This window comes from Homo sapiens, chromosome 5 (assembly GCF_000001405.40).
Source record: "Homo sapiens chromosome 5, GRCh38.p14 Primary Assembly".
Lineage (NCBI taxonomy): Eukaryota > Metazoa > Chordata > Mammalia > Primates > Hominidae > Homo > Homo sapiens.
The window spans coordinates 53,089,321-53,116,138 of record NC_000005.10 but is presented as its reverse complement, the minus strand read 5'-3'; the positions used below and the strand labels follow the sequence as shown (position 1 = coordinate 53,116,138).

Below are 26,818 nucleotides of genomic sequence, written 5' to 3'. Positions count from 1 at the left end.
AGGAATAAACTTGAGATTCAGATAATCCTCAATCCTTAGTTCAACTTGGACCTCTGAATTCTGCTACTTTTAAGGAGATGTAGCTCAGTTTATACTCTTGCCCTATACTCAGGCATCAATCATTTCTACGGCCAGAGCTGAAAGGCTAATAAAAGGTAGATGTGGCTTCCTTACCGAGCACTGTTAAGACTAGAAGAACCTTACCTGGGCCATCCACCAAGGACTCTGGGCTCAGGCCCTTTCTTACCTTCACTGCCTCAGTTCTTATTTCTATTTTAATGAAGACTTCTGCTTCACCAACTTCCCTTTGGTGAGATATTGCAGACTTTTTTCCACAGCTCTCCTTCTTAACACATCTGAAAAGGCAGTTTTAGGAGCTTTCTAGAGCCCACAATATGCTCCTTAAAAGCGGTGGCTAATGCCTGTAATCCCAGCACTTTGGGAGGCTGAGGTGGGCGGATCACCTGAGGTCAGGAGTTCGAGACCAGCCTGGCTAACATGGTGAAACCCCGTCTCTACTAAAAATACAAAAACATTAGCCGGGCGTGGTGGCACATGCCTGTAATCGCAGCTACTCGGGAGGCTGAGGTAGGAGAATCACTTGTGCCCGGGAGGCAGCCGTGTCAGTGAGCTGAGATCACACCACTGCACTCCAGCCTGGGTGACAGAGTGAGACTCCATCTCAAAAAAAAAAAAAAAAAAGAGCTTTGGTTTTCATTGTTCAACATCTGTGTGGTATATTTTTCTGTTTCTAAAATCCATTTGTTGTGCATATCTTAGATTTTTGCAGAAATGAAATTACAAGATCTGGCTTTCCTCTGGCATCTGAAACTGGGGGATTTGATATATACATTTTAGAAAATCATCAGTGAAGAACATATTTGCAAAAAGCTCCTATAGCCATGTTCTTTCATTTTAAGGTGAATGATTTGCAGTTGGAATAACTAACCACAAGGAGGTGTGCTTCTTTTGACCTAAATTTCCTTGAATAAACTAACAAGTACAATATATATGGTTTATTCTGGCTTTTGTTTTTATTTAAAATGACCAATGAATAAAATTACACAACATGGATGTAGCATTTTAAAATTACCTCCTTCAATTATAAAATTGACTTAATATTTTGTACACCTACAAGGTGCAAGGCACACTGCTGGGCTGTTTGTTAACGGCATACTATACTCTATGTCTTCACAAGTCATTTGCATAGAAAGGTGCTTGAAATTCTGTGTGATTTGTTAAAATCAGTAATTCCAGATGGGTTTACTTCAAACTAGTGATACAGTGATAGAGGCAGGAGGCAGAGAAATTTTAGGCAGAAAAGGGAGGGTCCCTGACAAAACCCCACCCTCAAGCCAAAAAGCCTGAAACCGCAGCCCAAAGTAGAGAACTTCTCTCCCTTTTGTCTGCTCAAATGTTGCTTTTTCCTAAATTACCCATGGCCCACCCTGCCCGCCATCCTGTGCTATAAAGACCACAGACTCAGCCAGCAGAGAGGAGAAGCAACTGGACGTGAGGGACTACGGCTGGATGTCAGAGAGAAGTGGCTTGATTTCAGAGGGACATTTTGATGGTGTAACTTTGGAGAAAAATCCAGCCAGAGATGGCAGGACTTCAGGGGAAGGTTACCTACCCAGCCCATCCCCTTTTCTGCTCTCCTTCCTGCTGAGAGCCACTTTCACTGGGAATAAAATACCCCGCATTTACCATCTGTGAATTCTTTTGTGTAACCTCATTTTCCCTGAATGCAGGACAAGAGCTCAGGAGTCATGAGTGCAGATACAGAAGGCTGTGACACTGGCCCTTTACTCTTGCCTAGGGCAGCTGCCTCACGCAAAAAGGCAAAGGGCCCACTGAGCTGTTTACACTTAAGCCACCTACGGATGGTAGAGCTAAAAGAGCACTGTAGCATGTCCTCTGGGGCTTTGGGAGTCACAGGCCGCCCCTCAGTCACTGCTGCAGGGCCCTGCACAGAGTTTGCTCCTGCTGGAGCCCAAAAGTGCTCACCCTGACTCCTGCATCCTCTCACCTGCATGCTCCCTCCCACGAGGGGTGGAACACAGTGTGTCCAAGTGATGGAGTTTGATCCCAGTAGCGCCGAAGTGGCCGGGTTGTTCCAGTGCTGGTGCTCTCCAGTCCTCACCCTCGTTCACTTGTGCGCTCCCTCCTGTGAGGAGTTGTGGGCAGCAGGCTGAGTAAACACCTCTGACGTGGGTCCCATGAAGGGGTCAGGGAAATATCCTGCTTCGGTCGTCCTTCAAAAAGTAACTACTGCATTATCTATTTTTTAATAAGAAATTTAAATATTAAAATATGTTAATGACATTAGTCCAATGTCTACGGATCTCACACCACATAGTCCAAACTTCCTCAGACAGAAATATTTTCACTGTTCAAAAATTCTGCCACACTGGGAAATAAAGGAGTAGACATGGGCTGACATTTGAAAATCTATTACCTGTATTTTTTTTGGTAATAGAATATGATTATAAATCTCAACTTTATTACTGACTTAAACAAGGTCACTAAAGCATTTCACGAAGAGTTCCTGATAATGGGTAACCAGATATCTAGGACTAGATACTATTTAGCAGCTGAAAATGATGGCAGAAAATATATGGGCAGCAATAGAAAAAGAATGTGACTAAACATTTTTAGCAATTTGATATAAAATATTTAGATTTTAAAAAATCTGTATAAATGGATGAATAGGTTGGATTTTACGGAAAAAAATAGGCTCAGTTCAATTAGAGACTGAACTGTAACATGATAAATCAGAATCAATGATGACAAGTTTTATATACTATTTTAATAGCACAGAAAACAAAACCAAAAAAACCTATTACCTATTGGCGAAACGACTGATGGAACATCTAATAACTTTTAAATCAAGTTAAGCCTAAAGCTGCCTCCTTACAAATTTTAAGTTTGGCCTAAAGGTTTCTCAACACACAGTGAATTGTAACCTAACTGCATGTGTAAACAGGCTGTAACCTACTCTTATACCAATCACTGTGTTGCAGCCCATCAAAGGCAGCCAACTGTTCGAACCTTGTTCAAGTAAGGTAAACACCAAGCTGTAACCAATCCAGCTGTTTCTGTACCTCATTTTCTTTTCCTGTAATTTATTTGCTTTTTTTGTCCATAATTCTTTGATCATGTGGCAGCACTGGAGTCTCTTTGAACCTGTTCTGGTTGGGAGAGGGGCACATTTCACAAATTGTTCTTTGCTCATTTTAATTTGTCCAAAGTTTTTCTTTTGACACAATGAACTCTGATTCTGCCAGGTGTTTCTGGGAAAATTGTTTTTCAGAAAAGGCAATGAACATTTTTGATAATTTGCTACTACACGTGTGTCTGGAATTGGTTCCTTCCGGTGGGTTCTTAGTCTGACTTCAAGAATGAAGCCTCAGACCTTCGTGGTGAGTGTTACAGCTCTTCAAGGTGGCATGGACCCAAAAAGTAAGCAACCCTAAGATTTATTGTGAAAAGTGAAATAACAAAGCTTCCACAGCATGGAAGGTGATCCGAGTGGGTTGCCACTGCTGGCTAGGGGCGCCAGCTGTTATTCCCTTATTTGTCCCTGCCCACGTCCTGCTGATTGGTCCATTTTACAGGGTACTGATTGGTCCATTTTACAGAGTGCTGATTGGTGCATTTACAATCCTTTAGCTAGACACAGAGCGCTGACTGGTGTGTTTTTACAGAGTGCTGATTGGTGCACTTATAATCCTTTAGCTAGACAGAAAAGTTCTCCAAGTCCCCACTCGACCCAGGAAGTCCAGCTGGCTTCACCTCTCACAAGCAACGTTATGTTTCTCATCTTCTAACAGAGCGTTCTGTGAAGGTCTGAGATGCTCCTACATTTCTAGTCTCATGGAATCTCGTCTTTTTTCAATCTGAAAACAAAATGGAAATGTTTTTGCCTCAACTTGTTTTTTTTCTTAACCAAATAGGATTCCTTATGGTAAAAATAACTGGGAAAATGGTGGCTCCAACTATGTTTTCACAAAAAATTGTAGCTTAAGTGAAATGCAAATGTTCATAAAGTCATTTTGCTATTACTAAAATAATTTATATACCATTGTGATGATTCACTGATTTAATTAATGAATTCATAAGAAAAGTAAAATCAAAGCCTATGGAATAAGCCTGGAATATTTTGGTATCAGTTTTGCTTGCATATCCACAAATTATAGATGGGGCTGTATTTTGTAAAAAAAAAAAGAACTGTGTCATATCTACAGCATAATGAATAAACGATGTGAACAGAAACTTCACAGAGAAGTATAAGTGCTCAATGAAAATATGAAAAGATTCACCTCATTAGGAATTAGAAAATAAAAAAATGAAAGCAAGGCAATATTATTGACCTATATTTACTTGAATTTATCAACAAAATAACTGGTGAAACTGATAGGATTATAAATCATCAGATTATTGTTTATTTGTAAAAGATAGTTGCTCCTAAAATATTTTCTAAAATAAAGAAGATTATGAAAAATATTAAGAAACCTGAATTGATATTTTGTAACTATATGTTCCCACTTTGGACAGTTTCCATTTTTTTTTAATATTCTGATGTCATTTACATTTTATTTTATAATCATATCCCATAATTGATATCTTAGTTTTACGTTTGAATGGGTTAAAATCTCAATGCCAGTTTTTTTAGTTTTTCATTTTTCCCATATTAATACCTTTATTGCTGAGTTATTTACTTTGATTACTCTTGATTGAGTGGACTTTTTGCCCAAGAAAGATTTTTAAGAAGGGTTCTTGGGTATTGTGTTTTTTGAGTTTTTGCTGATTTAGGAGAATCCTGCCCCACCAGTTTGGCTGTAATATTATGGGATCATGCTTTTGTTCTCAGCCTTTTTTACACACTGCACATTGCCATCAGATGCCACTGAGGAGTCTAAGGCCACTATTGTCATTCCCTTGTTTTTATGCCTGGGTGTGAATATAGTCTTTATCCTTTATGTTTAGCAACTTTACCAGGATACACATTGGTATTCATTGCTCCTTGTCAATTTTTCCTACCAAGGACTCTCCAGCCTCACTTCTCATCACCTCCTTTGCTGGAGGCACACCTGCCTTGCCAACTACTTGCCCTTCTGTGAACTTATTATGCTTCTTCATATCCCTGTGGCTTGTCAGAGGCAAGTGAAATTTCTTCGTGCTCTACTCCCACTCTTGTCATTTACTGCCACCATTCTAGCAGATTTACCTTCTCAGCATCTTCTCACTCCCCAGGTGACACAACCACTTTCCCCTTCCACCCTTGAAATGTAACACAGATCCTTAGTATTACAGGGAATTATCATTCATATTTAAAACTCTCCTACCCAGGACTGTGAGCTCCAAGGAAAGGGACGTGTAACTTACATCCACTTAACGACGCAAGCAATTTAAAGCCAAGAGTTCTTGTTGGCAAGAATTGGGAAAGTTGGACGGACAGTATACAATTACCGAGCAGCCAATAAACAGGAAAAGTCATACAGTTCGAATGTTCTGACCAGGCGGATATTCTGTCTTTAAGAAACACTAATCATATACCTGGGAAAGAAAAAAATCTTGGGCCCCTTCAAACTGGGAATTACTCAGGGCAAATCTGCCTCCTATTCTATCCAAGTCACCTCTTTTGCTGACAAAGAATAGATGCATATTCTGATTGCCTCCTTTAGAAAGACTTATCAGAAACTCAAAAGAATGCTACTGTCTATTACCTACCTGGAAGCCCCCAGTTGGGGGGGGCGGGGCTTGCTTTTAACGGTCTCCGCCTTTCTGGAAGGAACTAATGTACTTTTTACATATTGATTGATGTCTCCTGTCTCCCCAAAATGTATAAAACCAAGCTGTGCCCTGACCACCTTGGGCACATGTCCTCAGGACTTCCTGAGGCTGTGTCACGGGCATGTCCTCAACGTTGGCAAAATAAACTTTCTAAGTTAACTGAGACCTGTCTCAAATTTTCGAGGTTCACATACCGTAGGTAAAAGTGTCAGAAGCCTAAAGGTGAGCCAGTGGAAAAGCCTGAAGACCCCTGCAAGGTTATTAGCTAAGCCTCCATAACGCAGGCGGCAAGTGTCCAGGAGTCTGGCGTCTGCTCGCCTGCACCACGACCTCCCTCCTGGGGAGAAGGACATGCATGGTAAGCCATTTCTCCATTTCCATACTGATTGCTTCCTCTCACCACCACGGCCCATCTGCGAAGCAAAACTAATCCTGGCGTGGAACAGGCCGCCTGAGGGAAACAGCTAGAGCCCGGCGCGGGGCGGAGCTGGTTGTGCGCATGCTCCGTGCAGGCGCAGGCGGGGGCTGAGCGCCGTCGGGTTACGCCTGCGCTCCGGGTGAGCCCGCGCCTGCGCCTTTGCGGCCGTGATTCGGTCCCGCTGTCCTAGGCGGGATGGTGCCGCTGTGCCAGGTAAGGGTGGCGGGTGTGCGTGCGGGCCTGGGTGCGGAGCCCTCCTCGACGTGTCTCTCCCGCCCTTTCCCTCCACATACCCAGCCTTGGTCAGTCGGACCTCCCCACTAGCCCCCAACCTGGCCGGCGTCTTGGGTTCGGGGGCGCCCCCGCCCCCGCCCCCGGGCCCTTCCTGTCTCCGGGCTTTACTGCGACTGCCCCAGCAGAAGTCGGGTCCTCTCCGAGAACTCTTGTCAGCTCACGGCAGCAAGGACGGACTCGTTCTGAAGGCGCCTCCACCTTTTATGACCACCTCTTTCCCAGATTATTCGTTTTGATGAAGCTAAAATTTTAATCTAAAAAGAAATGCACCTCATGGAGAATTCTTGTGAAGAACTGTGCTTCATCTGTGGATTTCTACACCCTTGATCATTTGCAAACCTGTAATTATTTCGTAAAGAGTTGTTTGCACGGAGTGACAGGTGCCTATTTTACTTCGTCGGATCCCTTACATACCAGGCTGCTGGCACAAGTTTGTTCTAGCAAATTCCAGTCTGTCGTGTGTTTCAAACCTACTTGCTTCTGTAAATGTCAGATTTACTATGTTGCATAACTTAATCCTTAGCGTCTGGGGACGATGTTATACAGACCGGAATCTAAGGTCATTTGACAACCGTGAGAAACAGGTTTTTCGCTTATTTATTCATTTATTTTATTTGTGTAACTCATCTCTTGACTCAAACATTTGTTCTTTGCTTACATATTTATAAAAGGTGCTATACTTTTATGTCAATTAAGGCAGGCTTAACATGTTTTCCTAGAAGATAAATACTTAGGATTTTAATGATGGCACACTTAAGTTTGTAAAACTAAAAGGCATCCAGAAATTAGTCTGAATTGTATTTAAAACAACAAGTTTTCAGAATTTGAACTTGTAGGTATACTGAAATTTTTTACGGGTTATTTAATTTTCTTTATAAAATTTGTCTTTGATTAAAGCAATACATTTGGAAAATGAGAAAACTGCTCAACATTGACAGTCAGAAAACGAGTATGAGTTGTTATTAAAAGCATTTTCTTTACTTTCAGGTTGAAGTATTGTATTTTGCAAAAAGTGCTGAAATAACAGGAGTTCGTTCAGAGACCATTTCTGTGCCTCAAGAAATAAAAGCGTTGCAGCTGTGGAAGGAGATAGAAACTCGACATCCTGGGTAGTTAAAAATTTGTAGAATGCATATGAGTAACACTTAGATATTTTCAAAATACATAAATGATAAAAGTAAAAAGGTTAATTTCGATTTCCGTGCTTAATGTCAAAAAGAATCGTTAGTTGTATTTTTTTTGGAACACCTGAAAAACTCTAAATGTGCACCGTATTTTAAGAAAGGTTAAAGATATTTTACCCCAAAACACAGTGAACCGCAGAGGGACATGATTATATTCTCTTTGATAATTTACAAAACACTGCACATGTCACTTCTGCAATTTTATAACATTAAATGAAATTGTTACAAATTCTGTTAAAAATGTGTGCTTTAAACATTTTGTTCTGCCCCTCTCTTTAGAGAGCTCAACATAGAAATTTCTAAGATTGAAAGAAAAATGAGTTACAACAAATCCTAGATGCTGCTGAATTTGAGTTTTTGTAATATTTAATTTTTTTTCTGGTTCTTGAAAAACCTATAATTTTACTTATGTCATTCCCACTTCAAGTTCTTTTTGGAACAAAATATAAAAGTGACTTATTTGAGGGTGATTCAGGAATATTAATGGTGTTACTTAGCTTGTATAGGTGTTTAACCTGGAAGTCCTAGTTCTGTGTAAAAGATACTCCATAATAAGTGTTTAAAAGCAAACCACTTCATGATTTCGTATCTTTTAAGTTGCTCTTACAGTGGCCTGATAATCAATAAAACACAGTGGGGTCTCCCATTCTGCTTTACCTGGAGGGAGACAGCAGGTCTTGTATACGTTTTCACTGTGCCTGAAAAGAAAGCTTACCATTGTTCAGGTATAAAGGAACAGCTAATAAAGCTGTGTTGCAGGTGGCTTTATGACCTATGCTATCTTTTTCATCTTTCTAAGCAACTTAATCCATATTCGAGTAGGATAATGTGTACAGGCATAGTTTGTGGGCAGTTATACTTGTGCTTGAACACATGGATAGAAGGACCCTGGAAAGGCCATGTACTGATTGGAAACTTTTCTTTTGACCTGGTTTGAGTGTTGCCTCCAGTCTGGTGGGTTTTTTGTGCATTTTTTTGTTGTTTAATTCCCCAAGGCATACAACATCCAATAAAGAGTTGACAGCAGTTTAACGTATCTTTGTGGTGTATAAGTATGTTCTTCAGTGGATATGTCCTTTCTCCATATACTATGTGTAAATTTAATTGGTAATTTTGCAGGTGATGCTTTATATAATTATATCTATGTAATATCTCTAATTGCAGCTGAAGCGATTTGAGGTCTATCATAGCGTTGATACTTTGAGTCATATTTTTTCCCCTTTAGATTGGCTGATGTTAGAAATCAGATAATATTTGCTGTTCGTCAAGAATATGTCGAGCTTGGAGATCAGCTCCTCGTGCTTCAGCCTGGAGACGAAATTGCCGTTATCCCCCCCATTAGTGGAGGATAGTGCTTTTGAGCCATCTAGGTATGTGAGATTTGTTTTTCTTAATCAGTCGTGTGGGGAAGGATCATACAGATGATAAAGTGTATGTGGTTTGCTGTTAATGTATATTCTTTGTAAGTCTGTCTGTACCAAATCTTTATTGATGCAGCAACTCTTCATTGGTGCCAACAGATTTATGAATATCTAGCACCATTTCTGCATCAAGTCTATTGTAAGCAGTTTAATTACAATAAACATATCAGTTTGATATGTTTCATTTAACATGGTTTATTGAGATCTTATGTGTCAGGCACAGTGACATATTAATATCCATATTTTGCAGGTAAAAAAACAAATTCAGAAGACTTAAAAAACTTGCCTTTGATCACATAGCTAATCACATAGCTAATAAGTGAAAGAGCCAAATTAAAAAGAATTTATTTAACTTTTAAGTTCAGGGGAACTTGTATCATGGCGGTTTCTTGTACAGATAATTTTGTCACCCAGGTATTAAGTCTAGTGCCCATCAGTTATTTTTTCAATCTTCTCCCTCCTCCCACCCTCCACCCTCAAGTAGGCTCCAGTGTCTATGGTTTCCTTCTTTGTGTCCATGTGTACTCAATATTTATCTCCCACTTGTAAGTGAGAACGTTTGGTATTTGGTTTTCTGTTCCCGCATTAGTTGGCTAAGGATAATGGCCTCTAGCTCCATCCATGTCCCTGCAAAGGACTTGATCTCGTTCTTTCTTATGGCTGCATAGTATTCCATGGTGTATATGTACCACATTTTCTTTATCCAGTCTACCACTGATGGGCATTTAGGTTGATTCCATGTCTTTGCTATTGTGAATAGTGCTGCAGTGAACAGACGTGTGCATGTGTCTTTATGACAGAACGATTATATTTCTCTGGGTATATATTCAGTAATGGGATTGCTGGGTTGAGTGGTATTTCAGTCTCTAGGCCACCCTGTCTTCCACAATGATTGAACTAATTTACACTCCCTGCAGCAGTGTATAAGCATTCCTTTTTCTTCACGTCCTCGCCAGCATCTGTTATTTTAATAATAGCTCTTCTGACTGGTGTGAGATGGTATCTCATTGTGGTTGGGATTTGCATTTCTCTAATAATCAGTGATGTTGAGCTTTCTTTTCATATGATTGTTGGCCACATGTATGTCTTCTTTTGAAAAGTTCCTGTTCATGTCCTTTGCCTACTTTTATTGGGGTTGTTTTTTCTCATAAATTTTAAAAAATTCCTTAGAGATGCTGATGTTAGACATTTGTCAGATGCATAGTTTGCAAAATTTTTCTCCCATTCGGTAGGTTGTCTATTCACTCTGTTGATAGTTTCCTTTGCTATGCAAAAACTCTTTAGTTTAATTAGATCCCATTTGTCAATTTTTGCTTTTGCTGCAATTGCTTTTTGAGTCTTCTTTGTCATTAAATCTTTGCTTGTTCTTATGTCCAGAATGGTGTTGCCTAGATTGTCTTCCAGGGTTTTTCTAGTTTTTGGTTTTACATTTAAGTCTTTAATCCATTTTGAGTTAATATTTGTATATGGTATAAGGAAAGGGCCCAGTTTCAGTCTTCTGCACATGGCTAGCCAGTTATCCCAGCACCATGTATTGAATAGGGTATCCTTTCCCCATTGCTTGTTTTTGTAGGTTTGTTGAAGATCAGATAGTTGTAGGTGTGAAGCTTTATTTCTGGGTTCTGGGTTCTGTTTCATTTGTCTATGTGTCCTGTTTTGTACCAGTCCCATGCTGTTTTGGTTACTGTAGCCCTGTGGTATAGTTTGAAGTTGGGTAGTGTAATGCCTCCAGCTTTGTTCTTTTTGCTGAGGATTCAAGAGGTTTTCAAAAGACAGCATTTGAACTCATATTATTGGACTGTCTGTGTACTTTTTTCCAACCACACTTACTAATACTAGATAATAGCTCTCCCGGCCATGGAAAATGTAGAAAAATTTCACAGCTAATAATGCCTGAAAAGAGAGCTAATCATTGCCCAGGACTAAAGGAATAGCTTTATTGTTATGGCTGTGTTGCAGGTGGCTCTTTGACCCATGCTACCTTGTCATCTTTCTAAACAACTTAGTCCATATTCAAGTAGGATAATGTACAAGAACATTGTTCAGTATAGTGTGGAGAGATCAGGCTTCTTATAAGTACAGACAGAATGAGGCTTAATTTATTGTCAGCTGAGGAACAAACAGTAGAAATTAACAGTCATCCCTGAATAAAAACTCTTGGTAAGTTAGGAATGAAAGAAGACTTTCTTAATTTGATAGGATTTTTATTCAAAATCAGGAGTAAATATCATATTTAATGGCAAAAACTTGGTTCCATTAAAGAAAGGAGCAAGCCAAGGATGCCTTTTTATCTTTTTTCACCCATTTTTTCCCCACCCTCCTGGAGGGCAGTGCCACAAGAAATGAAGAATCAATCTGTAAAACAGATTGCCTCTCATGTCAACACTAGGCTTCTTTCTCAGGCCTACTATCTGGAAATAATAGAAGAATCTCTTGTCAGATATGTATCTCAATGCTATTTAGAAACTGTGGTCACCATATCACCACCATGATTTCAGGAGGTTCTAAAAATGCAGTTTTTTGGAATTTCGAATTTATTCAGAAAACTATAGGCTACCATTAAAGGGATATTTGTGGTAATTACAGCTGTTCTTTGAAAAGGTTACGAAGATTACTCAAAAGCATTGTGTGTTACTTGAATGTGTTTCGCAGGACTGGTATTATGCATTTTTAAAACCTGCCAGCTAGGTTTTAGTAGTCTCGTAAAATCAGAAGTTGTGGGAACTCAGTATGGTTTGAAACTCGTAGACCATATTTATATTACCTATATTTTATTGCAAGAAAAAGAGGTGGAAGACACTTAGGCGGCTTGTGTAGCAGATGAAAAATCCTGGAATCCAGTGGTATATAAAGAATTGTGCTGTTTCCGTGGTGGAAAGGAGATAGGAAAAAGAACATTGGCTTAACTAGTACTCCTTGGTTGGAATTTCAGCACCTTGAGTGAGTTCCTTAACTTCTCTGAGCCTTCTTTCTCTCGTCTTTCAATTCAGATGAAACCTTACAGGATTAATAATTATATTCCTCATTGCCTGCAAGATTCTACCTACCTGTCCAGCCTCAGCCTGCCCAGTTCTCTCCGTTCGTTCTAGGTTCTGGAGCACATCACACCCTTTCTTGTCCCAGTGCCTTGGCATTGGCCACTCCCTCTCTCTGCCTGGGGGCCTGTGCCCTGGTTTCTTTACAAGACTTCCTCCTTATCTTTCAGGTCGCAACTTTTCATAGAGGCTCTTGAGAGAAATCTCCCCCAGACCCCAGGTTCTGTCTCTGAAGCCTATTTACTTCCATAAGTTATCCCTATTTGTAATTCTGAGTTTCTCCTGTAATGCTTTGTTTCTCCTATTTGAATGTAAGCACGCTGAGGAAAGGAGCTTGAGCTTCTTTCTCCCCTGATTGATATCTAGTGCCTGGCCCTAGTCTCTGGCCCTTAGTGAGTATGTAGTAATGTTTGAGGAATTAAATGAGAAATGCATGGCAAAGGGCTTTGCACAATACCTAGTAAGTAAGTGTGCAGTTCATTCCCTTATTTCCTCAGTTACTTACCTGGGGTTTTGCCAGTTTGTGAAGGGAACCCAGTTCCAGTAGAATCACTGTCACTTCTGTTCTTCCTTTTTTGTTGGATAAAGAAAAAGACAGCTTTAGGTGTGGTGCTTGGTACCATAGTGGTGAGAGGGGATGGGCATGTAGGTGAAAGTGGCAATACCTCCACTGTATCTTGATGGGAGATATGAATAGCAGTTACAGAATTTGGAATATATTGGCATTGAGACAGATTATATTTTAGTGATCATGTTAATAATGGATTACTTTTTATGTCATGCCTGATTCATTATGAATATTTATACACATAATTGAGTTTTGTTAATTTTTACACTTGCTTATTTTTATCATTCAGATCAAATCATGCCTCCTAACACATTTAATGGTGGGGAAAAAAAGAAAAGAAACTTTTTATCTGAGGAATGTGAGCCCGTCAGATAAAACATTAAGAGGCACAGAAAGGCACTGGAATGAAATGGCAGTCATGTCACTCCCCATTAAGCTGCATCATTACCTTTTTTTTCTTTTTTTTTTTTTGAGATGGGGTATCACTTTGTCGCCCAGACTGGAGTGCAGTGGCATGATCAGTTTCAGCTCACTGCAACCTCCACCTCCCAAGCTCAAGCAATTCTCCTGCCTCAGCCTCCCAAGTAGTTGGGATTATAGATGTGTGCCACTACCGCCTGGCTAATTTTTGTATTTTTAGTAGAGACGGGGTTTCACCATGTTGGCCAGGCTGGTCTCAAACTCCTGACCCCAAATGATCCACCCGCCTCGGCCTCCCAAAGTGGTGGGATTACAGGTGTGAGCCACTGGTCCCTTGAAGCCACTTATTATGAGGGCTGCAGACTAGCTGAAGCTAAGAAACCATAAAGTCCATATGCTGGACACTCTAACTTGTACCCACCCTATAGTTCAACAGTGTACAGCCAATCAGTGATCAACATTATCTCTGTATGCCAGTGAGAATTCTTGGTGAAACTTTGTATCATTGTATCAGCCCACTTTTTGTTCCCTTTGCCTTTACAAACCTGCTTGCAACAAAGGCCGAGGGAGTGCTCCCCAAAGGAACTCCCCAAGGTATCTTAGAAGCATCCTGGGCCACTGTCCTTGATTTGACTCATGTAAACTATATTTTGTGCCACAGCCTCTTCCTTTTACATCGACATAATGTAGAAAAAAATATAAATTGAAAGAGCCTATAAGTTGTTGAGTGTTTTACCCCTAGGACTTCTGTTAAGGTTTGTTAATGTATTATTTCTAGGAAAGATATGGATGAAGTTGAAGAGAAATCTAAAGATGTTATAAACTTTACTGCCGAGAAACTTTCAGTAGATGAAGTCTCACAGTTGGTGATTTCTCCGCTCTGTGGTGCAATATCCCTATTTGTAGGTGAGTTGTAATTTTCATTGCATCTATCACTGTATAAGACAATAGAAATTAGCATGTGCTTTCCATGTTCAGTGTTAACGGAGGAGTTTGAAATACTGAACTTTAAACCAAGATTACCGATGATGGTGGGTAGACTTTTTTTTAGTTCTTGTTTTGTTTTAGTAACCTTCAAATTAACCTATATTAAATTACAAGGCATTTTGAAAAGTAGGATAAAAGTCATTGTTAGGAGAGAGAATTCTAGATTTTCCAAAATTGAAGGTAAAAATGTACTTGATAGTCCTGGGAACATAAATATTTTCCTTTTAAGTATCTATTAGTCAGAAGAGGAATATTGCCCGGTTTGCCAGGTGAGTGTTTTTAGTAAGCTTGCTTAATCAGTGCTCATCTTTGTGAAGATCTGTTTTATTTTCCTAATCAAATTTTGTTTTTAGAAGATTTCAAAGTAGTTTTAGAAGAATTGGTATGCTGCTTGTTTACTATTAATTTACTATTAAAAATATTCCTTTTTTATTAACGTGCTATTTCTTTTGTAGGGAAAAACCTTATTTTAATTGTTTTCTTTTTCTTTTTTTTCATTTTTAAAGGGACTACAAGAAATAACTTTGAAGGGAAAAAAGTCATTAGCTTAGAATATGAAGCATATCTACCCATGGCGGAAAATGAAGTCAGAAAGATTTGTAGTGACATTAGGCAGAAATGGCCAGTCAAACACATAGCAGTGTTCCATAGACTTGGGTATGATTTCCTTTATCACTCTAAAAGTTAAGTGTAATTGTTTTCCATCTTTGTACTAACTCTGATTCTTGAATCTTTCTTAGTAATTCTATATTACCATGAGAGGAATATTCATGTATTATTTTTGGAGGACAATAGGGATGGCTGTTAGTACCTTTAGGGACTGCCTAGTGAGTTTTGATATTGGGAGAGCTCTTGTTGCCTCTGTTGCTGTAACAAACTGCAGTTGTGCCAAGACTTGCAGGCCCTATGACAATCTGTGACAGATTCTTTTTGATATAAATGCCTCGAAAGTCATTAGAGTGGTTTGCCTTTTTGTACCCCTAAAAAGAGAAGAGTTCTTGGCTTTAAAAAGAAGCCAGTAATTGAGACTGTATCTATCATACTCTGTTAGTTACTAGTTTGTTATTAATAACCAGTAGTTTTATTAATGGTTATTATCACTCCTATTACTTGATATGTATTATTTTAAATTTTGTATTATACTCGTTAGGACATAACTTTGTATTTCTAGGCATTACTTGGCACTGTGCCTTGTTGAGTCAGATGTTTGCTCTATCAATGAAAGGATTTTCCTTGGTGCCCATCAGGAGGGTTTAGTGGATAGATTCTAACAAATTAGCTGTAGCATCAGCCTCATCTACTGCCTCTGCTGAATGCTACTGCAATTAATTACTCTTTTCTAACTGTATGTTTACGTAAAATAGAACTACAGTATAATTCTAAGACTGCATACCTGGATTTTTTTTCATCTGTCTAGCAGATTCTTTAACACGTAGATTCAGAGATGATGGTGATTTTTTTTTCTCTTCATCTTGTTAAAGCTTGGTTCCAGTGTCAGAAGCAAGCATAATCATTGCTGTGTCCTCAGCCCACAGAGCTGCATCTCTTGAAGCTGTGAGCTATGCCATTGATACTTTAAAAGCCAAGGTGCCCATATGGAAAAAGGTAAGTTAAGAAAATAACACATTTTAGCATGTGGACCTGATTTTTCTCAGGAATTTTTAGATAAATCCCCCCATATTTATGGACTTTTTACTGACTGTAGTATCTTGTTTTCTTTATCTGTGAAATATCTTCTTTCCAAGATTTGTTAAGCATGAAAAATATGTGCCCCAAAGAATGCATGGCACACAGTAAGCCTCAATGAGTGATAACAGTGAGAATTCCTAGTCTGGACTGTTGGAGGGGTTCATACATGAAGTTATTTTCCTTGGATTATAATTCCCTTGAATTAGAGGGTCTTTCTGTTGGAGAGTGAGAATAATGCATTAGCTATTTAGGTAATGGCTAAAATAGAAATTCTTTAAAGTGAAAGAGGCTTTTCCTAGAGGTCCTTTTTAGGGAAGAAAAAAAAATGGTGAGATATTGCTCCCTCTGAGAAAATGCAGTGAGTGGATTTAAAAACAGAAATAGGAACTTCTGGCATGTTTTCTGTCAATAAGGGCAAGTAATTCTCTGGTTAAATAGAGCATTCTGATGGGATGAAAAGGCCCAACTCCCTAGTTTCTCCCCTGGTGTAGTAACATTAACAGTGGGATTGTTCTGTGGTTGCACATTCAATGTCTAGAATTGTCTAGAATTGCCTACAGCGTTGTGGTTGACAGAAAGCTGAGGAGTTAATGAACAGCTCAGTAGATGAAAAGACCAGAGCAGAGAGCCAGGGCTTTTAAAGGGCACTTCTCCCCTCCTTCCCAGGGGACCTGCCTCAGTCAGTGGTAGAAATAAGCAAGTTGGACTCATAACCAGGGCCTGGGAAATTTGATGACCATGTTTTCAGAATAAAATTGAAGCCCATTGTTAGAATACGTAGGGATTAGAGGATAGAATATGTGTGAAAGGAAACTTAGTGAAGCTCAGATATATTGTTCCCTTGCTGTGAACAAGGCTGACACAACAGGAGGCAGGCCCCCAGAGAGCGAGAGGTAGGAAGAGCATTCTAAGATCAGCTGCAAGCCTGGAAGGCAGGGGTAGCTTTCTTCACCAGGGAGGAAAGGGTGCACAGTCAGTGGACAGAAAGTAGATGGGAGCAACCCCAGAAATACAGGTAATGAGCAGGAGTTGGGGCATATTCTTGTTTTCATGCTTTGAGGACTAGTTGGGCTTCGTATTTTGCTTTTGTTTGTCCATAGAGAGTCCGAGGAAGTGCAGGAGTTCAGAGGACAGTTGAATTTGAATTCCTCTCCCTACAGAAATGGAATGTGACTAGAGAGTGAGAAGAGAAAGTGATATGTTCTCCTTACCCCTCCTTTCCACAAACTATGTAACTTCTAGTCTGGTTCTAGTCTCGGCCTGTGCTTTGAGATCATCTGTGATATAGGGAAGGGTGGCAGGTAGGTAGAGTGCATATGTCAAAGAACAGCTCATACCAGAGGGCAGCTCAAACTTGTTTAGGAACTTCTGAGAGGTGACCACTTAATTCAACAGCTAATGAAGATATCTGCCTTTGGAAAAGCATATTTAGAAATGTTGAAGTAGTAGGTATGTTTGGAAAGAAAAAAAAATGTTTAAAACTAAAGACTTTCTGTCTTCCCCTATGTAACCTTGCCCATGATGTCTCTCGTCATGATTGTTAAAAGAGGAGCCATTGAAATAGATGTGATATTCATTTGTCTGATTTATTCAAATATATTTTATATTCGTATAGTAGAATGGTCTATTTTTAATACCTGTTATGATTTTGTTTTTTAGGAAATATACGAAGAGTCATCAACTTGGAAAGGAAACAAAGAGTGCTTTTGGGCATCCAACAGTTAATCACTTATGTTTTTAGAGCATGCAATCTTAACTTTGTTAAACTATTATTATTGATCACATTTTGATTTTTTTCTCTCCACATCAGGATAGTTTACTGAAGCACAATCTCTTATACTAGTGGGACAAAAGGGAGAAAAAGGAAGCAAGATAAATGGGTATGTAGGATGAAGGGTTATTTAAAATGGAACTAAAGATAGAAGGAGGACTGTAGGAAGAAATGGAATAATTTAAATGTGAGGAAAGATATCTGTGGTAGACATGTCCTTCCATGACTAATTTCTAATTGTAACTCAACACACATTGAGGTATGGGCCCTCCTCAGTGACTTTAACTAGCTCAGAAACGTACTCCCCCACCAACCCCACCTCACCGCCCCCCATCCCGGTTCTGGGAGAGCATTGTTATTAAGGATGCATGACAGGAATGTTGGCAGAACTGGAAAGTATTAAAAAAGCATTATCAGACAGTCTTGATATTATACATTTTCAGAAATATATTAAAAATAATAAACTAAAACCCATGATTTCAAAAGTTTAAAAAGAGTATTTTCTTTTTTTTTAAATTGCCTAAAATAGTTCTCATTATGGAGATTTCTGGGATTTCAGAATCTATAATCTTACCAGAAAACTTTTTGTTGTTTTTTATTAGTTGTTAATTTTGTATCAATATACAAATCAGCACAAAATTGTCATAAAGCTAACTAGCAACAAGGTGGTTTGTGTTGAAATGTTTAGGTAAACAATGCCCCAATTTTTAACTGGTTAAGCTTTATAGTATTTTGATAGACTTGTACATATAAGTCCCATATAGTTCTTAAATTTTTTTTTCCAGCTTTATTTAGGTATACTTGACAAAAATTGTATGTATTTAAAGTATACAATGTGATTTTTGATACACATATACATTGTGAGGTGATTACCATAATCCAACTAATTAACATATTCCTCAGCTCACATAGTCCCCTCTTCTGTGTGGTGAGAATATTTAAGGTCTACTCTCAGCAAATTTCAGGTAAACACATAGCTCATAAAATAATAAAATACAGGCAAAATTTGGGCAGTCGGCATCATCACAAAATTTGCATTATGCATATTAAGAACAAAAGCTATACTTTCAGACACTTAGATTGAAGGATTTTTTTCTTATGTCTGGGACAAATAAGAAACGTAGTAATCCTATTTGTTATATGTAGTGAAAACATCTTTTACCTAAGGAACCCATTTATTCAACAAATATTTATTGAATGCCTGTTTTGTGCCAGGCACCCACCCAGTGATCTTTTTCTGCCAACCTAAAATACCTTGAGGAACACTCTGCATCTTATCTGTGGCTGGGACCCATAGGACAGCCACACTGACTTTAGGAATCACCTGGTTACATCAGTTGATGCTTGTTCATTAGTCCGTCTGGAGAGATTGGGCCAGAAGGATACTGGAAGGGCAGACAAACCCTCCGCCTACTTCCTCTGCCGGGTTCGGGTTGCCTGTTTGGTCTCAGCCTTACCTTCACAGTTCAGTGTCACTCTGGCTTGCCATCGAGCTTCCGCCTGTCCCCATTGGAGAGAAGGGGTGGGTGTTGGCTGTTGCATTATATCTAAAAGCACATTATCATGGGGTTACTGGGTCACTGGACATTTCTAGGATTTTGGACATAGGTTGTTAAATGGATGTTATGTCATATGCAATGTTGATAGGTATATGTGGATTTCAAGACTTTCCTACTTAGATATTTCTTTAGAAGTTCCTTATTGAGGGTAATGATGTTTTTAAAGAACATAGAACATTCTTTATGTTTTAAAAGAATCATGCCTTCATTAAGTAGGCTTTATTCTAAGTTTGGAACTGAGACTGTTATGCTTTTAAAGTCTCCAACAGAGAGGTTAAGGAGTTAACCTGGGGCATGCCAGAACTGGGATGGAATGGCCTTGAAAGATTTTAGTGCATTGCACTTGACTTAGATAGGATCTTTACTGACCCTTGCTTACTTAGGAGTGGCAGAGTTAATTGGTGGTTCAGATATTAAGGGGCTACTGTCACTCTGATATGTAGCTTTTCTATCATCTCTGTAACTTAGCTTCAAGTAACTAGAAGAGTAATCTAAAAAAAATAATTAGCCTTTAATCAGATTGCCTGCAGTGTTTCTTGGTCACTTTAAAGCCGTGACTTTGCATGATTGCTAGGTAAGTTCACTTAAGAAATAGGAAATTCAAATTATTTATGTTTCAAGTATTTTTGAACAGGTGGTAAAATGAAATTGATTTTTATCATCTTTGAATGAAAGTAACAGCAGATATTCAATGAGTGACTTATTTTGTGGACATTTTTGTCCTTTGGATATGATGTATAGAGTCACAATATATTTTCAGCCTTTTTTGAGAAATAAGTGATTTAGACATCTTACACAGTTACTGAGCACCTGGTACAGTGAAGATCTCTCAAGAATGATTTGTGTGATGTAGTTCGGTGGATCATCCAGCAGAGGGCAGTAGAGCCAGAGCCATAGTAAAAGTTATAGTAAAGTTGCTCTTAGCAACTTGAGTCTTACTTAGATTTAATTTTGCATAGAACCAAAAGTTCAGTTTAGTAGCCATTTTCTTTAAAGTCAGGCTGTAGTGGTTCCGAAATGAAAATTAGGCCCTGATTTTATGTAAGATGATGTCCAATCTTTAATTGACACCTTAAAAATATTAAAAGATTATGATAGGATCAGGAAGGAGTTTTTGAAAATGCAATTTGTAGTTTTTAACAAGTGATGTAGAATAAATAAAAAGAAGTACTTTTTAAAAAGTAAGTATAAAATTATTTTCCAGTTAACTATGGGATATAAATGATTGCTTTAATACAGGTCTTCCTAACCTGTACAGCATTTCCTAACCTGCTCTGTGAAAAACAAAGAAATAAAACTTAGTGCTCTCTTTCTCTAACATTTTATTTTTTAAGAGCTGGGAGGGGGGGGGTCTCATGTTGCCGGCCTTGAACTCCTGGGTTCAAAGGATCCTCCCTGCCTCAGCCTCCCAAGTAGCTGCAATTCCCACATTCAGCTCTCCAAGATTGTATTTTAATGTGAGATATATAGCAGACACACTTATTGATGGTTGTGCTGCAGTGAGCTGCCCTCCTGAGACGGCTCAGCACAACTGCGATGGGCAGGGAGGCATGTGAGAGAGCGCCGCAGACATGAATGGAGATGCTGGTGCATCGCTATTTATGGCAGCACACACACACTTTCCACCCTGTCTTTGCATTACTCTGCCATCTGTACAGCGATGGCAGTCTGTGAGCCCAACGTGTACTTACTTTATAACTTACAGCATATTTATTTCAGCATATTTACTCTTTAAAAATATTTAAACCTTCCTGCTTATTATGATTTTTTTTAAACTGTGCAGATGACTCTGCTTTTGCATGTTGCAGCAGTTTGGCTGATTTTTTTTCCCTCTCTATTCCAAGCACACATTTTATTTCAAAAGGTAAGCTTTAGAGCAGTGCTTCTCAACTTCAATGCAATATGAATCACCTGGGGATGCTGTAGAACTTACAATTTGACTTGAATAGTTTTGAGTGGCCCCTGAGATCTGTGTTTTTTAACAGGCTCCAGGTGATGCAGCACCATCTGTCCCTGGGCCACACTTTGAGGAGCAATGCTTTACACTGTCTCAAAACTTCGAAGGCAGTTTAAGAGTCTTACAAAAGAAGATCCTTGTGGTCACTGCTAGAAACATAGACTGGACACTTATGGCAAATTAATTATAGCCTCAGTCTTCTTAAATTGAGTCTTGGATGTGAGCAAAGTGAATGTATAAGATAAAAATAGTAAAATATATAACTTATAAAAGCCCAAAGAAAATGGCTTTATTTTCAAAACAATTGTAACAATATTCAATAATGTGGTATGAAAAAAGTGGGTTACAATAATGAAACTTTTCTGTTTGTTATACTTGGATATGAGAAAAACTACTAACTGTTGACTACAATTTAATTTTTGTTTCTCATAAATCAAATGAATTCTGCAACTTTTTGTACAAACATGCATTTATTTTTACAGTTTTTGTGGAAAGAGGCAAAACACATTTAATCAAAAACATCAAACACCACATTTGAAAAAAGACTTATCTATTATGTATAAAGGAAAATATCCAAGACAATTTCTTTAAAATATATACAATTCTAACATAGTTATGCAATATATACATTCATATTTTGACTTAATCTGCCAAAATAAACAGGTACATATGAAACTTTATTTACATAATGGCTACAGTTTCAGTCTTTAGAGTTCAAAGAAATAGTTAAGATTTTCACCTATTTCATACTTTTCCCCCATGTTTCTCATTCACCTCTAGAGGTTTAAATTAACCTTTCAAATTGATTAAAATGGGTATGCCTGAATGTACACAAAAGGGCATTGTTTTATGTGTGCAAATTGAAATATTAAAGATGGATCAGGGATCTCAGTTTAAGGAATCCTGCCTTCTGTATGATGATGTCTTAATTTTTGAGATTTTCATATATTGGGTTATAGCTATATATCAGGACAGGTAAATACATTATAAAATTATAACCTTTATAATAATTTTTAGTATAATCACTTGTGTGACTATAATAAATTGGCTTTAGTTTTACTCTTCACAGTTTTAATAGGTAACTATTTTACAAGAATAACATTGCTAGGTAGAAAAATTTCTGTTCAGTTAGGAGTTCTTATTTTGCTGCTGAAATGAGTCATGCACAATTTTAAATCTCTGTAGTTTCTTCATAAGCTATTTTACTATCTTACTATTTTATAAGCCTTGTGTTGCAGTCAAGTTTTTACCACATTCTATAGACCTTGTCTGTACACCATTTATGAAATGGAAATTTGAATATGACATCTTTTATGCCCTCTACTTACTTTTAAAGCAAAAATATTGTTGAATAGGAACACATAGCTTTTATTTAAACAATGTTTTTTCCCCCTAAATTTCTTGTATGAATACTTACCTTTGCTTAAAAGTGCTTGAGAAATACTGCCCCCCAGGAGGCATTTGACAATGTCTGGAGACATTTTTTGATTGTCATGACTGCGGGGGGAGCATGCTCTGGCATCGGGTAGCTAGAGGCCAGGAATGCTGCTAAACATACCTTCTAGGACAGGGCTGCTGTCCTACAAGGTACAGGACAGCCCCTGCAAGGAAGAATCACCTGGCCCCAAATGACAGTAGCGCCCAGGTTGAGAGACCCTGTCCTGGTGTGATAAATGGTGCAGAGACAAGTGGCTAATGGTTTATAGTAATTCAACTACTCCCTGGAAACAGTGTAAACTAGGCTGATTACCTAAGGCAAGGCTAACCAAAGCTTTCAAGTTCCGTATATGTATGTTTAGCACTTATTTAAGGAAGTACTCACCTAAAGGAGGTGAGACAGAGTAAAAGGAAGGATGTGCTATAATTGTTTGTATAGCACATTGAAAAGCTAGTATTTACATATACAGTACTAACTTTTTTTTTGTTTGTTTGTTTGAGACAGAGTCTTGCCCTGTCACCCAGGCTGGAGTGCAGTGGCGCGATCTCGGCTCACTGAAACCTCTGCCTCCCGGGTTCAAGTGATTCTCCTGCCTCAGCTTCCCGAGTAACTGGGATTACAGGCACCTGCTACTACGCCCAGCTAATTTTTATATTATTAGAGATGGGGTTTCACCATGTTGGCCAGGCTAGTCTCAAACTCCTGACCTCGTGATCCACCGGCCTCAGCCTCCCAAAGTGTTGGGATTACAGGTGTGAGCCACCGTGCCTGGCCACATTGTCTTTTTAAATAGTCATTTTTTTGAGACAGGGTCTTGCTATGTTGCTTAGGCTGGACTTGAACTCCTGGGCTCAAGCGATCTTCCTGTCTCAGTCTCTCAAGTAGCTGGAGCTTCAGGTACACACCAGCACCACTAGCTGTTAAATATTCTTTATCAAGCTAATGACTAGTTTCTCCAGTCTTTTTTTTTTTTTTTTAAATAAAATTTTGTTGGAATGAAGCAGCAAATTCTCACAGCTGTTAAAAGAATTGGACTCTGGCATACCTAACTGGAGAATACCATGCTGTTTTTTCTATAAACCGCTGGCATTTTATGCCTTTTTTGTTTGTTTTGTGTTGTCAACTACAAAGTAATTCTGTAAACAGTACAGATAGCCCTGGACTGCCACCACGGGCCAGGCCAGGGTAGTCAAGGTTGTCCATATGCACATGGGCAGATAACCTGTTTTCCTTTGACATTTTTTTCCAAGTCAAATTCTTGGAGGATTGTGTATTTGTATTATAGGAAGTCCAGATCATAGACTTTTAAAACTAAAAGCATCACTGCTGAACTCCAGCTCAGTCTTCCCATTTTATAATGAGGACTCTGAAGTTTATAGAGGTCAAGGACTTGTCCAAAGCTTTAGATATGTAGTGTCTGTGCCCTTTTCCTCTAAGTTTCTCCTAGAGAATGTGGGGGCTCAGGAACAGAGAAAATAAGGTGCAAAAAGTAGAAATGGGTGGTGTTTCTCAAAGTGTGGTCCATCTGCATCCTAGTGACTGGGGTGCTTGTTAAAATGCAGATTGCTGGGCCTTATCCCAATCTGACCAAATCATCTCAGGATCTACCTTTTGAACAAACTTGCCTAGGTCAAATTCACTCTTGTGGAAGTTTAAGTACTTCAGAAACAAGACAGCCACAGAAGGTGCACCTGCTAATTTGGTGGCTTCCAGTGCCTCATCTGTAACTTCTGGTGAAATCCTGAGATGTCTTACTTTACATTGTTTACATCCCATAACATTCCAACATTTAGAAATTCACTCGAGCTTATTTTTCTTACTTGTTTAGCACTAAATGAAAATAGCTCCCTGAAGTTAAGGAGTTTATATACAGTAATTCATGCAAGTGTGTAAATTAAACAGATGACTTTCCCCCCTAATATCTAATGCACAGCAGCTGTCCTGAAGGAGTGGGAACTTTGGATGAGGGGTAAAGGAGGGGATAACTTTGGACCGCTGGAGAGAAAGTCAGGCTGTAGAGGGCTTCTATAATAATGGTACCACCAGGAGGTGGGAGAGTGGTTCAGTAAGGGAGGAGGAAGGTTGCCAAAGAAATTACTCATCTTTCAGAAATTCACTAGGTTACTGCCAGTCAGCCAAACAAATCCTAGAAGAGAACTGTTGTGCCTCCTAAAAGAGAAAGGAAATTTCCTCCTTTTCCTTCCTCTGGCACAGGATGGGCTTCTAGCAGATGGGATTTTACATGTTATATTCTGAGTTTTAAACAAAATTTTGTGCCTTATTCTCTATATCGCCCCCTCTCCTAACTTAAATGGACATATAGGAGGTATACTCTAAGCTCAGTTATTCAAGCATGTTTTGATCATTAGAGCAAGATGGGGTGTGGAAGGGGCAGCCGTGGTCTAAAAGGAACCAACAACAAATTTTACCTAGTTTATAAATAAAATTATCACTTGGAAGTATCATCTGTGGCAACTTTGGATGAGCAGCATAAATTGAAAAAACCTGTGTTTTGTTTTCCCCTCTTGTTAACATCAATATTCATTAAAATATACACAAGTGGAAGTACTTACATATCAAGCACTTCCACTTCTGTAGTTGCTGTTTAAAGACAAATATTTTAAAGAGAACAGTTTTCCCCCTTAAAATCTGAGAGTATCATATTTTTCTTTAAAAGTTGTCATGCTTGGAAGCATTTCATGTTTCTGACACAATGCAAATTAGAATGTAAACTCTGGGCCAGCCAGTTTAAAGATTACTTTTTTTCCCCCATCATATAAAATAGGTATTTTCCCTATTATTTCCCTACCTGCCCCCCGCACCTCCCCCACCCCCCACAATTTCTTCATTCCAAACTGACCTGCAGTTTTCTCTTAAAATACCAGGTTAGTTTACCTACGACATGATAAAAAAAATATGGGATTTAAAAAGAAATCCATTCACGCAAACAGCAAACCCTGGCTGGGATGCTGCCGGTTCCCACTGCAGGTAGGTCTGCTGGTTCAGCTACTGAGCTCTGTGGTCTCATCAATCTCATCTGGATTTTTGGTCATCTTTTCATATTTTCTTTTGAAGAAGCCGAGCTGTAAAGGTGATGATATAAGAATGTTACCACCCGTGGCTTATTTTGTAAGGTGCCTCTGACCCCCTTGGCTGCCCACGTCCTCTGATGCACCTCTGGGAATCCCTGAGGCTCTGAAGGGAGGTGTGCAGACTGATGACCTGATATCTACCACCTGCTAGAAGGAAATTTATATCCAGAGAGCTCAGCTGCATTGCATAAAGCTACATTTTTCAGCGTCTACTTATTTGAAGCTGAACAAAACATTCAGGGCTCTGGATGAAAGGAAGGTTTAAAAGAAGAAAAATCCTTACTGGTTGTTTTTAATGACATGAGTAAGAAATTATAAACAAATTTGCATTTCTTTTCTCCTTGTGATAGAGAAGGTACCATATAAAACCTGAAGTTGATGTTTTGTAAGCAAATTCAAGGCTGGCCTTCAGGAGCCCTGTATTTTAAAATATAAAGCTTTTCTTACCTTCCATAAAATTGCAACCAGAGCTAACAGCAAAAGGATTCCAGCAATTATACTTCCTATTATAACTCCTGTTGGTACTTCGGCTTTCTCATCAGGTTTCATTATCATCAGGGGAATCTGGAAATGTCAGTTCACAGTTGAGTTATTTTAATACCACAAAAAAGGGGGGAGATGGTCTAGTCCAATTCTCTAATTCTGTAAGTGAAGGTCTACAGCTCTAGAAAGGTGACAAGACTTGCTCATGATGGCGTATCTCAAACATTGTCAGAATAATTTTAGAGAAAATCTTCCTGCAAAGTCCAACCAGCTAAAAAATACAACTTTTCTAGTTTCTCCGCTTTAACTACATCAGTGTCTTGTGGCTACATCATGCCTGACAATCTCAGATGCTTATCTTACTTATGAAATAGAAACTTCCATTTCTGGCATACATTCAAATCAAGTGAAAGCATCATCAAGTGAAAGCAAACAGCTTTGGGGAAGGGAGTCGAAGAAACTCTTTAACCCAACTTCATGGTGATGAAACAGCAGCTTTGTATTGGGTGTCTAAAATACTAGTTTCACTTAAACCTCATTCCAAGTTGATATTGTTGGAAAAGTAGAAATAATATCTCAAGGGTCAAGTTGACCTTTTCAGTGGGAACGTTGTCCTTCAGGCTACTTAGGATTCTTTGTATCTGCTTCCTGGCAATCTTTGAGATGCTGTAATGGAATGGCTGCCCTGAGTGTTAACAGTAAAACT

The 26,818-nt window shown here is 38.8% G+C and overlaps 2 protein-coding genes and 1 long non-coding RNA gene across 10 annotated transcripts in view, besides 2 other annotated features; 1 reads left to right on the top strand and 2 right to left on the bottom strand.

Moving 5' to 3' along the window:
- Positions 1–1,012: 1,012 nt before the first annotated feature.
- Positions 1,013–6,297, bottom strand: MOCS2-DT (MOCS2 divergent transcript). Of its 2 annotated transcripts, NR_034107.2 has the most exons (3): positions 5,991–6,297; positions 3,105–3,899; positions 1,013–2,280 (listed from the first exon to the last, which is right to left on the bottom strand). It is a non-coding gene; the product is annotated as an MOCS2 divergent transcript (long non-coding RNA). The 2 variants fall into 2 exon arrangements; NR_104654.1 differs by lacking the exon at positions 3,105–3,899.
- Positions 1,497–1,996: an enhancer, noted in NCBI's record as "H3K4me1 hESC enhancer chr5:52409973-52410472 (GRCh37/hg19 assembly coordinates)". NCBI's record gives its function as "activates a minimal SCP1, AML or CMV promoter by ChIP-STARR-seq in primed H9 embryonic stem cells {active_cell/tissue: H9 hESC(primed)}" and the evidence as "EXISTENCE:reporter gene assay evidence [ECO:0000049][PMID:30033119]".
- Positions 6,354–6,643: a silencer, noted in NCBI's record as "silent region_16005". NCBI's record gives its function as "represses an Ori minimal core promoter by ATAC-STARR-seq in GM12878 lymphoblastoid cells {active_cell/tissue: GM12878}" and the evidence as "EXISTENCE:reporter gene assay evidence [ECO:0000049][PMID:35858748]".
- Positions 6,382–20,460, top strand: MOCS2 (molybdenum cofactor synthesis 2). Of its 2 annotated transcripts, none has more exons than NM_176806.4 (7): positions 6,382–6,427; positions 7,496–7,617; positions 8,918–9,062; positions 13,915–14,042; positions 14,630–14,780; positions 15,605–15,728; positions 17,472–20,460. In NM_176806.4, exons 1-3 carry the CDS (start codon positions 6,410–6,412, stop codon positions 9,042–9,044), a joined length of 267 nt encoding a protein of 88 aa, NP_789776.1. In that variant the 5' UTR covers positions 6,382–6,409; the 3' UTR covers positions 9,045–9,062; positions 13,915–14,042; positions 14,630–14,780; positions 15,605–15,728; positions 17,472–20,460. The 2 variants fall into 2 exon arrangements, with proteins under 2 accessions (NP_789776.1, NP_004522.1); NM_004531.5 differs by having other exon boundaries at positions 6,382–6,888.
- The window catches only part of ITGA2 (integrin subunit alpha 2), a 105,428-nt gene continuing 99,969 nt past the window's right edge, over positions 21,360–26,818 (bottom strand). For all 6 annotated transcript variants that reach the window (NR_073105.2, NR_073106.2, NR_073103.2 and 3 more), the window contains 2 exons: positions 26,077–26,193; positions 21,360–25,620 (listed from right to left, as the gene is read on the bottom strand). Coding sequence is in view for 1 of the 6 variants with exons in the window: in NM_002203.4 (NP_002194.2) it covers positions 25,540–25,620; positions 26,077–26,193 (198 nt within the window). In the remaining 5 variants the exon portion in view is untranslated. The remainder of the gene's footprint in view (positions 25,621–26,076; positions 26,194–26,818) is intronic.

Coding starts and splice junctions, on each gene's coding strand:
- MOCS2 (NM_004531.5), top strand. CDS start 8,965: ATGTCGAGCTTGGAGATCAGCTCCTCGTGCTTCAGCCTGGAGACGAAA. Junction 9,063..13,914: donor AGTGCTTTTGAGCCATCTAG/GTATGTGAGATT, acceptor TATTATTTCTAG/GAAAGATATGGATGAAGTTG. Junction 14,781..15,604: donor GCAGTGTTCCATAGACTTGG/GTATGATTTCCT, acceptor ATCTTGTTAAAG/CTTGGTTCCAGTGTCAGAAG.